This window comes from Homo sapiens, chromosome 11 (assembly GCF_000001405.40).
Source record: "Homo sapiens chromosome 11, GRCh38.p14 Primary Assembly".
Classification (NCBI taxonomy): domain Eukaryota; kingdom Metazoa; phylum Chordata; class Mammalia; order Primates; family Hominidae; genus Homo; species Homo sapiens.
In genome coordinates, this window is record NC_000011.10 from 14823257 (window position 1) to 14836567 (window position 13311).

Consider the following 13311-nt stretch of genomic DNA (forward strand, 5'->3'; position numbering starts at 1 on the left):
GACTGCTTTTTCACATGGGTCCCAGATCTTATTTCTTTTCACTGGGCAGAATCCTGTGACCAAGGTCTACAACCACCCCTGCTAGTGTTTTCTGTCCAGCAACAGTTTCAAACTTTGCTGGGATGGAGTTCCCAGAGGGAGGGGCAAGCTGCCATCTTTGCTGTTTTGCAGCCTTAACCATTGTTGCCTTTGGGATTTGGAGAGTCCAAAGTGACTGGGGGCTGCAGCAGACCCCAAACACAGCCCAACTGTTATATAAAGAAGTGGCCAGACTGCTTTTTTACACAGGTCCTCAACCCTATTTCTCCTCACTGGGTGGGACCTCCCAACTAGGGTGTCCAGCCATCTCTGCTGGTGTTTTCTGACCAGCAGCAGTTTCAAACCTCCCTGGGATGGAGCTCCCAGAGGGATAGGGGGACTGCCATCTTTGCTGTTTTACACCCTTCACTGTTGATACCTTCAGGTGCTAGATAAACCAAGGTGACTAGGGACTGGAGTGTACCCCCAGCATACTGCAGCAGCCCTACAGAAAAGTAACCAGATTGTTTGTTACTTGGGTTTCCAATCTCATATCTCTTCACTGGGCAGGTCCTCCTGGCCTGGGTCTCCAGCTCCCCTCACCTCCAGGCTATCAAGCCAGTAGCAGCTCTGGAACTCCCTGGGAAAGAACTCCCAGTGGGAGGGGTGGGTTGCTATCTTTGCTTTCTCACAGCCTTAGGCTTTGCTGTCTTCAGGCTTTGGAGAATCTGTGGGGACCAGGGGCTAGCTAGTCCATACCCGAGCACAGAGTATCCACCTCACAGAAAAGTGGTCGGACTGTTCTCCACGTAGGTCCTGGTCCTCACTTCTCCTCTCAACCTGGTACTCTAGCACAAACACGCTGTCCCTGTCAGACCACATCAATCAGAGGCAGCCCAGCAGTTAAAGGAAGAGCCACATGCAGAGATAAGAAAGAACCAATGCAAGAACTCCAGCAACCTAAATGGTCAGTATCTTATGACCTCCAAACAACCACACTAGTTCTTAACCAGGCTGAGCTGGCTGAAATGACAGAAATAGAATTCAGAATATGGATAGGAACAAAGATAATCAAGATCAGGAGAATGGCAAAACCCAGTTCAACAAAACTAAGAATCACAATAAAATGATACAGGAGCTGACAGATGAAATAGCCAGTATGAAAAGGAACCTAACTGATCTGATAGAGCTGAAAAACACACTACAAGAATTTTGTAATGCAATTCCAAGTACAGCAAAAGAGACCAAGCTGAGGAAAGAATCTTGAAACTTGAAGACTGACTCTCTGAAATAAGAAAGTAAGACAAAAATTATTTTAAAAAGAATGAAAAGGAATGAGCAAAACCTCTAGAAATATGGGATTGTGTAAAGAGGCCAAATCTACACATCATTGACATCCCTGACAGGAGAAAGCAAACAACCTGGAAAACATATTTCAGGATATCATCCATGAAAACTTCCCCAGCCTTGCTAGAGAGGCCAACACCCAAACTCAGGAAATACAGAGAACTCGTGCAAGATTCTACTCAAGAAGATCATCCCCAAGATGCATAATCATCAGATTTTCCAAGTTTGAAATCAAGGAAAGAATGTTAAAGGCAGCTAGAAAGGGCAGGTCACCTACGAAGGGAACCTGATCAGGCTAACAGTGGACATCTCAGCAGAAACCCTACAAGCCAGAAGAGCCTGGGCTCCTATATTCAACATTCTTAAAAAAAAAAAAAATCTTCAAGAATTTCATATCCAGCCAAACTAAGCTTCCTCAGTGAAGGAGAAATAAGATCCTTTTCAGATAAGCAAATGCTGAGGAAGTTTGTTACTACCATTTGTTACTACGAGACCCACTTAAAAGAGATCTTGAAAAGAGCACTAAATATGAAAGGAAGAACCATTACCAGGCAATACAAAAAAACACAGTTAAGTACACAGACCCAGTGATGTAAAGCTACCACACAAGCTGGCTTAATAACCAGGTAACAGCACAATGACAGGAACAAATCCACACACATCTATACTAACCTTGAGTGTAAATGGGCTAAATGCCCCATTTAAAAGGCATAGAGTGGCAAACTGGATTTTAAAAAAAGTAAGACCCAATGATACACTGTCTTCAAGAGACCCATTTCACAGGCAGCAACACCCATAGGCTCAAAACAAAGGGATGGAGGAAAATCTACCAAGCAAGTGGAAATCAGGAAAAAGCAGAGGTTGCAATCCTAATTTCAGACAAAACAGACTTTAAACCAACAAAGATCAAAAAAGGCAAAGAAGGGCATTACATAATGGTAAAGGGTTCAATTCAATAAGACCTAACTATTCTAAATATGTATTCACCCAACACAGGAGTACCCAGATTTATAAAGCAAGTTCTTAGAGATCTACAAAGTGCCTTAGACTCCCACACAATAATAGTGAGAGACTTCAACACTCCACTGACAGTATTAGGTCACTGAGGCAGAAAATTAACAAAGATATTCAGGACCTGAACTCAATATGGGACCAAATGGATCTGATAGACCTCTACAGAACTCTCCACTCAAAAACAACAGAATGTACATTTTTCTCATTGCCACATGGTACATATTCTAAAATCCATCAGACAACCCTCAGCAAATGTAAAAGAACTGAAGTCATGCCAAACATACTCCTGGACCACAGTGCAATAAAGATAGAAATCAAGACTAAAAAAAATCACTCAAAACCATGCAATTACATGGAAAGTAAACAACTGGCTCCTGAATGACTTTTGGGCAAATAGTGAAATTAAGGCAGAAATCAAGAAGTTTTTTAATACGAATGAGAACAAAGATACAACCTACAAAATCTCTGGGACACAGCCAAGGCAGTGTTAAGAGGGAAATTTATAGCACTAAGCAGCCATATCAAAAATTTAGAGAGATCCCAAATTAACAACCTAATATCACCACTAAAATAACTAGAGAAGAGAGAGCAAACCAACCCAAAAGCTGACAGAAAACAAGAAATAGCCAAAATCAGAGCTGAACTGAAGGTGATTGAGACACAAAAACACCATCCAAAAGATGAATGAAACCAGGAGTTGATTTTTTGAAAAAATTAGTAAGATAAATAGGCTGCTAGCTAGAGAAATACAGAAGAAAAGAGAGAAGATCCAAATAAACACAATTAGAAATGACAAAGGGGGTGGTACCACTGACCCCACAGAAATACAACCATCAGAGACTACTATGAACACCTCTTTACACACAAACTAGAAAACCTAGAAGAGATGGATAAATTCCTGTACACATAACCCCTCCCAAGACTGAACCAGGAAGACATGGATTCCCTGAATAGACCAATAAGAAGCTCCAAAACGGAATCTGTAATAAATAGCCCACCAACCAAAATAAATAAATAAAAATAAAGCCCAGGACCAGATGGATTCACAGCCACATCCTACCAGATGTACAAAGAAGAGCTGGTACTATTTATACTGAAAGTAGTATTACAAAAAACTGAAGAGGAAGGACTGAAAGTATTACAAAAAAATGAGGAGGAAGGACTCCTCCCCCAACCCATACTATGAGGCCAGCATCATTCTGATACCAAAACGTAGCAGAGACACAAGAAAAAAACAAAACCTCAAGCCAATATCCTTGATGAAAATTGATGCAAAAATCCTCAACAAAATACTTGCAAACCAAATTCAGCAGCACATCTAAAAGGCAATCCACCATGATCAAATAGGCTTCATCCCTAGGTTGCAAGTTTGGTTCAACATATGCAAATCAGTCAACCTGATTCATCACATAAACAGAACTAAAGACAAAAGCCACATGATTATCTCAATAGATGCAGAAAAAGGCTTTTGATAAAATTCAACATCCCTTCATGTTAAAAACTCAATAAACTAGGTATTGAAGGAACATACCTCAAAATAATAAGAACCATCTAGGAGAAACCCACAGCCAACATCACACTGAATGGGCAAAAGCTGGAAGCATTCCCCTTGAAAACGGGCACAAGACAAGGATGCCCTCTCTCACCACTCCTATTTAACATAGTATTGGAAGTCTTGACCACAGTAATCAGGAAAGAGAAAGAAATAAAGGGCATCCAAATAGGAAGAGAGGAGGTCAAACTATCCCTGTTTGCAGACATGATTCTATATCTAGAAAACCCCGAAGTCTCGGCCCGAAAGCTCCTTAAGCTAATAAGTAACTTCAGCAGAGTTTCAGGATACAAAATCAATGAACAGAAATAACTAGCATTCCTATACACTAACACAGCCAAAACAAGAGCCAAACCAGGAACACAATCCCATTTACAATTGCCACAAAAAGAATAAAATACCTAGGAATATAGCTAATCAGGGAGGTTAAAGACCTCTACAATGAGAATTACAAAACACTGCTCAAAGAAAGCAGAGATGACACAAACAAATGGAAAAACATTCTGTGCTCATGGATAGGAAGAATCAATATCATTAAAATGGTCATACTGCCCAAGGCAATTTATAGATTCAGTGTTATTCCTAACAAACTACCAATGAAATTCATCACAAAACTAGAAAAAGCTATTTTAAAATTCATATGGAACCAAAAAAGAGCCTGAGTAGCCAAGGCAATCCTAAGCAAAAAGAACAAAGCTGGAGGCATCATATTACCTGATTTCAAAGTATACTGCAGAACTGCAGTAACAAAATATCATGGTACTGGTACAAAAACAGACACATAGACCAATGGGACAGAATAGAGAGCCCAGAAATAAGACCACATGCCTACAACCATTTGATCTTTGACAAAGCCAACAAAAACAAGCCCATTAATGGGGAAAGGACTCCCTATTCAATAAATGGTGGTGGGATAACTGGCTAGCCATATGTAGAAGATTAAAACTGGATCCCTTCCTTACACCATATACAAAAATCAACTAAAGATGGTTTAAAGACTTAAATGTAAAACCCAAAACTATAAAAACTCTGGAAGACAACTGAGTCAATACCATTCTGGATATAGATACTGGCAAAGATTTCATGACAAAGATGCCAAAAGCAATCATAACAAAAGCAAAACTTGACAAATGGGATGTAATTATACTAAAGAGCTTCTGCACAGCAAAATAAACTATCAGCAGAGTAAACAGACAACCTATGGAAAGGGAGAAAATTTTTGCAAACTATGCATCTGATAAAGGCCTAATATCCAGCACCTACAAGGAACTTAAATTGACAAGAAAAAACAAACATAAAAAAGTGGGCAAAGGATATGAACAGACAATTTGCAAAAGAAGACATACATATGGGCAACAATCATATGAAAAACAGCTCAGCATCACTGATCATTAGCGAAATGCAAGTCAAAACCACAATGAAACACCATCTAACACCAGTCAGAATGGCTGCTGTTAAAAAGGCAAAAAATAACAGATGCTGGCGATGTTGGGGAGAAAAAGAAACACTTATACACTGTTGGTGGGAGTGTAAATTAGTTCGGTCATTGTGGTAGACAGTGTGGTGATTCCTCAAAGACCTAAAAATAGAAATACCATCTGACCCAGCAATCCCATTACTGGGTATATATCCAAAGGAATATAAGTCATTCTCTTATAAAGCCACATGCGTGTGTATGTTTATTGCAGCACTATTTACAATAGCAAAGACATAGAATCAACCTAAATATCCACCAATGATAGATTGGATAAAGAAAATATGGTACATATACACCATGGAATACTATGCAGCCATAAAAAGAATGAGATTGTGTCCTTTGCAGGGACATGGATGGAACTGGAGACCATTATCCTTAGCCACAGGAACAGAAAACCAAATATTGTTATGTTCTCACTTATAAGTGGGAGCTAACTGATGAGAACACATGGGCACATAGAGGGGAACAACACACACTGGGGCCTGTCAGAGGGTGGAGGGTGGGCGGAGGGAGAGGATCAGAAAAACAACTAATGGGTACTAGGCTTAATACCTGAGTAATGAAATAACCTGTACAACAAACCCCTTTGTTACATGCTTACCTATGTAACAAACCTGCACTTGTACCACTAAACTTAAAAAATAAATAAATGAAAAAAAATCACAGCTAGTGAAGTAGTGAGGCTAGGACTCATTTCTATAAGTAGTATTTAGATTTGAATCCAGATTCTATTTTACTATATAGTTTGGGCTCTATCTTATATGTCCATAGTGGAAAAGTAATAAATGATTATCATAGTTTTTCTAAGAGAAAAGGCAAAGAAAAGAAGATGTAGTATATATACATCATGGAATACTATGCAGCTATAAAAAAGACTGAGGTAATGTTTTTTGCAGAGACATGGATGGAGCTGGAGTCAAACTAACATAGGAACAGAAAACCAAATACTGTCACTTATAAGTGGGAGATGAATGACGAGAACACATGGACATAAAGAGGAGAACAACAGATACTGGGGCCTACCTGATGGTGGAGGGTGGGAGAAGGAAGAAAATCAGAAAAAAATAGTAATTGGGTACTAGGCCTAGTACCTGGGTGATGAAATAATCTGTACAACAAACTCCATGACACAAATTTACCTATATGACAAACCTGCACATGTACCCCTGAACCTAAGATAAAAGTTGTTTTTTAAAAAAGAAACAAAATATTACCCACACCTCAAAATTACCCATCATGACCCCTTCCAATCATATGCCCCAAAGATAATGATCTTTTTGTCTTTCATACGCTTTTGAACTTTTCTTAAAGAGAATCAGAGAGTATATACTTTTATGCCTGGCTTCCTTCACTAAACATTATATTTTTAAGTACCATCCATATTGTAGTTCATTCTCTTTGCTCTGTAGTGATCAATTGTGTAAATATACCACAAGTTATTTATTCTACTGTCGATAGGTTTTGGGTAATTTCCCTGTTTAAGATATTACAAATAGAATGAATATGAATGTTTTTTAACACGTGAATGAATGCTATTTAGCTATGAATACTGCTCTTCTTTTCCATGTGATTTGAGAAAAGAAATTATTACATTGGTAGAGATATAACTCACCATTAATAATATTATGGTTTAAGGTTTACATGTGATTTAATCTTATTGATTTGTAATTATGATTTTAGAATTTTTATCTAAAACTCAGAGATGTTGGAAATTGTTTATATCAAATTGGTAAGAAAATTTCTATTGATAGGAACTTTTTCTTTTTCTCACTTTTATAAAGAATATCCACTTAGCATCCATGAGTAGATATGAAAGGTGAGTCCAATACAGGAAGTGTCTTTGTTGCCTGAGCATAAGGTATCTAGGCAAAATAGCACAGGAAGATACAACTTAATGGTATCGTGAAATAATTTAGATTGAACTCCATTATGATTCATTTTATCTAAATATTTTTAACAATTATTTTTCATGTAAAGCTGTACATATAGGGCACATTTTACTCCTATATATTACTATATATATTTTTTGAAAGGTGAAGAAGAAAACATTTTCTCGAAAGAATCATTCAAACTTATGGAAACTCAACAAGAAGAGGAAACAGAGAAGAAAGACAGCAGAAAATTATTTCAGGAAGGTGATAAGTGGCTAACAGAAGAGGCACAGAGTGAACAGCAAACAAATGTAAAAGATAAACTTTCAATATGATTATGTTAAGGTGAAATATAATACTGTTAGTACTGGTTTCATTACTTTTGCCCAGAACAAGATTTTTAATATAGTAGTATTTTTTAATTTTTTTACTTATAAGTCACTATAACTGAAATATTGCTTGGGTTACAAATAATACAGTAACTTGTTCTAATTCTATCATCCTAAAGCAACAAACTGCATTCAGTTTTAAATGAACATATTTTATTTAGTTTTATATAAAATATATTATTTTCTATTCTGATATTTTCTTTTGCGTATGTGAAGGTATAGAGAATATGTGCATGTTACTAAAAACAATGAAAACAATGTATTTATAATGGCAATATAGTTTTGTTCTTAAATTTCAAAATTTAGGCTTTTAAGGAAAAGAAACACCTATTTCTTTTGAAAAATTATCCTGGTAATAAATGCCAATATAAGGATATGGTTTTTTTTCCTCTTACCCTTTGATACCTGTAACTACTAAAATGAAAATAATAGACTTTGGATTTGTGTAGTAATTTGGAAATATAATACTTTTATTCATAAAAGTAATATAAGAAGATTAATAAGTCTTACACCCAGGAGTTATGTTTTTAGTTTTTGAAGATAACATTCTAGAAAGAGAAATTAGAAGGGCAGATAAGACTATATTTAAGAATAACCATTATAGAAAATAGTACTGACTTTTTTAAATGTTTAATCCTAAGTGTTCTCATTGTAATATATATTTTACAGTATTTATAAAAGATAAAATAAAGTTGTTGTTTCCCTGTATGTACAGATTGAACAGGAAGTATCACTGGACCTGATTTTAGTAGAAGAGTATGACTCATTAATAGAAAAGATGAGCAACTGGAATTTTCCAATTTTTGAACTTGTAGAAAAGATGGGAGAGAAATCAGGAAGGATTCTCAGTCAGGTTTGCTTTCAAATATCTACTTTTTAACTGTAAATTAATTTTTCTTAAATCTTTATAAAAAGCAAAATCTAATATGTAATGGTTTAAGCACTAGTTCAACAATGACATTGTTCATTATTTTTTTCAGAAAAAAATAAATATATACATAAAACAATTATATATAAGATGTAGATCATACTATTATATATATGACAAGTAGTTTATTTGACCATATTAATGGGATTTAATTTATGCCAAAGAAATAATAAAGATTTACATTTTCTTGAATGTGGAGGTTGAAAAGGATATGAAAATATCATCTAGTTCTAACCATTGCAATTTAAGCTTCATTTTTTTCACCTGCACTCCCTATACTTTACCCAAGGCCGGATGATTCATTTCATGCTAGAACCATGGGAAAGTACTTTGATTTTACCACCCAGACTCAGGGTTATACCTGATGGGTCCGCATAACAGCATCAGATTAACTGCCCCAAAATATTACTCTCATTAATTACTTTCATATCTTATTTATGAAATGCAAAAACGTAAGGATAAATTTTGTGAAATATATAAGTTCATTTAATTGAAGTTCTTAGGGATAAAAATGTGATAAACTTAGTATTGTTTTGAATTTTGTTTTTAATACCCAGGACTAGATTAGAATAGAATTCACATGACCTTCAGTAAATTAGGAATAAAAAGCTAAGGAGAAGAATGGAAAAATTAAAAATTGGGACATGATATGTATGGTAAGCCTTCTTTAATTTTCAGTGGCTTTAGGGTGACATCTTCCATTCTGATTTTTTTGAAAGAATTAATTGTAGGCAAGTTTTAAATAAATTATTAAAGACGTATATTAATACATGGTTAACATTCCAGAATACAAATCACAAAAACATTATACTCAGCTACAAATAGAAATTCTGATTTTTAAAGTAAACTTTATTTTAATTGACATTTAGGTTATGTATACCTTATTTCAAGACACTGGTTTATTGGAAATATTTAAAATTCCCACTCAACAATTTATGAACTATTTTCGTGCATTAGAAAATGGCTATCGAGACATTCCTTGTAAGTATTAACATATTTTATTATTTAAGTTCAAATAATATGGGTTTTGAAACTCTTTATCATCTTTCTCTTCAGATGGTCCCTTAAACACTTTTAAAACTGCTTGTTTGAAATTTTCTTTTTTTTTTTTCTTGAGACAAGAGTCTTGATCTTGTCGTCCAGGCTGGAGTGCAATGGCGCGATCTTGGCCCACTGCAACCTCCGCCCCCCACGTTCAAGTGATTCTCCTGTCTTGGCCCTCGCAGGTAGCTGGGATTACAGGTGCCCGCCACCACACCCAGCTAATTTTTTATATTTTTAGTAGAGATGGGGTTTCACCATGTTGGCCAGGCTGGTGCTGAACTCCTGACCTCTGGTGATCCACCTGCCTTGGCCTCCCAAAGTGCTGCGATTATAGACGTCAGCTGCCGCGCCTGGCCTGAAAAATTTTTAAATGGAGTTTTAAAAAGAATATTTGTATTATACTACCTAGATTTAACTGACTACTGTTAACATTTTGTCTGTTTTTTGTTAACATTTTGGTATATATTCTCCAAGAGTTCTTACATAAATTTATTTTTTGTAAAGGTGGTCATAATATTGATACATATTTATGATCTGCTTTTTCACCTGGTTGTTATACAGTATACATCTTTCTATTTTTAAAATTAATTGCCTGTGTACTTTATCTTTTTAAAAGTTAGTCAAGAGTTTCAGAAAATCATTCACTTAAAAATGCTTAAAATTGATCATCTAATTTCAGTTTTTAACTGTGTTCTGATTTATGGAATAATTTAATGGCTATTATATATTATGTTTGAATATAATTTGAGTTTCATATTAGAAAAAGATGGACTGTCTTTATATATTGTCTACAGTTTCCCTCCATGTGGACACATTTTTGAGAAATTAATTCTATAAATAGTGAATTATTCTTCAATTGGCATAACTCACTAATAATGTTTAATAATTTAAGATGAGTTACATATACTATAATTTCCACTTATATATTGTGCATTCAAAAAAGTGGTTGGATTTTATAAATGGAATATAGGGATACTTTAAGATGGACTTCAAGGGAAATGGAACGAAAAGAAAGAGGTGGTAAGGAGTCTTCACTGTCAGCTTCAGTTAGGATACATTAGTTAAGAAAATAGTCTCTGGACCTAACTTTTCTAAACTTTAAAAATTTGTGAATGAGAATAACAATAGTACCTACTCCATAGGTAGTACTAATATAAGATAATTAATGTAAAGCACGTATCAGAATTCATGACACTTAGTAAATTGTTAGTAAAAGGTGGTGATTTATTAATAATAATTAAGTTCCCAGTGTACGCCATGTCATATCTATAGGCAAAACAATATTATTTTATCTACTAATGCATACATACACATTAAATATTTGTTGAAGTGTTAAATTTTTATTGGATATCGACATTAACTGCAATCATTAGATTCACATAGGTTATCTTATTCAATCTTTTTTGGCAAAGTTGTATTATCTAACTTTTATAGGTGAGAAGTAAACTCAGAAGGATCTTTCCCAAGATTATAAAACTAGATACCAAAGTAGTGTTTCAGTTTTAGGTCTATCTGAGTTCTGAAGCCTATACTCTTTACACTATGCCACATTGCCTTTTCACATAGTTGAATTTCAGGAAATAGATGTTTTATTGATCATATATGATGTGTCAGACACTGTGCTGGATGCTTTCACATATTTAGTATTTAATTCCTGTGGCAAGCCTGAGACATAGTATTTCTGACCTTTTTGTGGGGGACACAAATGTAAGTAACCAGAATTTGTAACTGTTCTGTGTACAAAACTGTTTTGTGTGCAAACATGGGTCTCTGTAATCCAGACACTACATGATATTTTTGAAAGCCAGAAAATAGCCACCTTGAGAACATTTTCCAATGCCTTTCAATACTCCTTGGTTATCCTGCCTTTTCTTTGGCACCTTTACTATGTTTTCATAGTATATGGGAAAGTTTTTAAAAGATATTTTTTTTAATACATCAAGAGACTTTAGATGAAATAAAATTCAATTGTGGGGAATTAGTCTGTCACATCTTTTTTATGAGGATATAGTATGACTAGGAAATTATTGTACTTTTTAAATGTTGTGTGTTAAACCTAACAGAAAAACGTTTTGGTGACTTTAGATCACAATCGTATACATGCCACAGATGTGCTACATGCAGTTTGGTATCTGACAACACGGCCAGTTCCTGGCTTACAGCAGATCCACAATGGTTGTGGAACAGGAAATGAAACAGGTACTTCCTTCTACAAATCTCTTAATTATTTTGATCAGGAATAGTAAATCAAGCTTTCTCATTTCATTACCTCTGTTCTTTTAAGTTTTTCATTAAGTAACCGTTTAGTACATACGAAGGACTGTGTACGTTTTTTTAACCACTTATCCCCAAGTTCTACTGTGTAAGTTTTGATGCATAATAATGACATGAAAAATTTTAAACCTGATACCCATCTTAAAGATAGATTAATATTCAGTACTGCTGGATCTATCATGTTTCCTTCTTTCCCCCATTCTTTTGTTTTCCTCACTGAGGTAGCCACTATCCCGAATATTATGATAATTAGTCCTTTGTTTTTTTAAAAAAAATTTTTTTTTTGTTTCAAGTACATCACATACATTTAAAATACATAACATTCAAAAACCAAAGAGAACATTTTCAAAAGCCTTGCAAAGTATTTCAATGATGACATTAAAAACTTTTATAAACAAATTTTGCTTCCAAAAAAGTTAATGCTATTCCTTATCATAAATATAATAGTTTATATAAATACAATGAATCATAACATTTATAGTTCTCTTATTCTAGCTTATTAAAAGGGCCAGGCCTGGTGACTCATGCCTATAATCTAGCACTTCTACAGGCTTAGGCAAGAGGATCACTTGAGGCCAGGAGTTTGAAACCAGCCTAGGCAACAAAGCAAGACCCCATCTCTACAAAAAAATTTTTAAAAAATTTAGCTGGATGTGGTGACACACACCTGTCCTAGCTACTCAGAAGGCTGAGGTGGGAGGATCTCTTGAGCCCAGGAGTTCAAGGCTGCAGTGAGCCATGATTATGTCATTGCACTGACATATATCAAGACAGAATTTGCTCAGTTACCAATACTTGAGAAATAACATTACCATACTAACCAGTGTAAATGTCATAGACTCAACCACTGATATTACTTTTTACATTTTGGTAGTTGAGTCTAAAGTATGCATTATTTGTTTAATGGATTTGCTTTATGTCACTGGTTCATTTTTGTCTGCCATCTGTATTTATTCTTTCTAGTGCCCTTCATTCCTTCCACCAGTCCTGTGCTTTTATTAGAGATAATTTTCTTCAACTTTTTTGTTTTAGCTGTCATTTTGTCTTAGAAGAATATATTTATATTTTAGCATGTTTGAAGGTATTATTCCATAATCTTGTGACTTTCACAGTTTTTGCTGACAAGTCAAGACTTAGGTCATATTGAGAAATATAATATATAAATATAATATGTTCCTTTTTCTCTTTCCTATTGGTTTTTAGCATTTTAACTATGATGTACTCATGTAATTTTTTTTTGTATTAATCCTGCCTGATGTTTAGTGAACCTTTTGAATATGTTGATTGGTAGTTTTTTACTGGTTTCTATCATGCTCTTCAAAATTCAGCCTCTCCATTGTCTAATTCCAAAGCCGCTCCCACATTTTTAGGTGTTTGTCACATCAGTACCTCACTTC

General features: G+C 35.0%; 1 protein-coding gene across 11 annotated transcripts in view; it reads left to right on the top strand.

Annotated features, from left to right (window-relative positions):
* Positions 1–13311, top strand: part of PDE3B (phosphodiesterase 3B) — a 255518-nt gene that overhangs the window by 179453 nt on the left and 62754 nt on the right. For 9 of the 11 annotated variants that reach the window (NR_190763.1, NR_190764.1, NR_190766.1 and 6 more), the window contains 4 exons: positions 7442–7590; positions 8384–8521; positions 9466–9577; positions 11726–11839. Coding sequence is in view for 7 of the 11 variants with exons in the window: in NM_001429700.1 (NP_001416629.1) it covers positions 7442–7590; positions 8384–8521; positions 9466–9577; positions 11726–11839 (513 nt within the window). In the remaining 4 variants the exon portion in view is untranslated. Of the gene's footprint in view, positions 1–7441; positions 7625–8383; positions 8522–9465; positions 9578–11703; positions 11840–13311 lie in introns of those variants that run through there. The other 2 variants (XM_006718249.4, XM_047427115.1) reach the window with 2 other exon arrangements.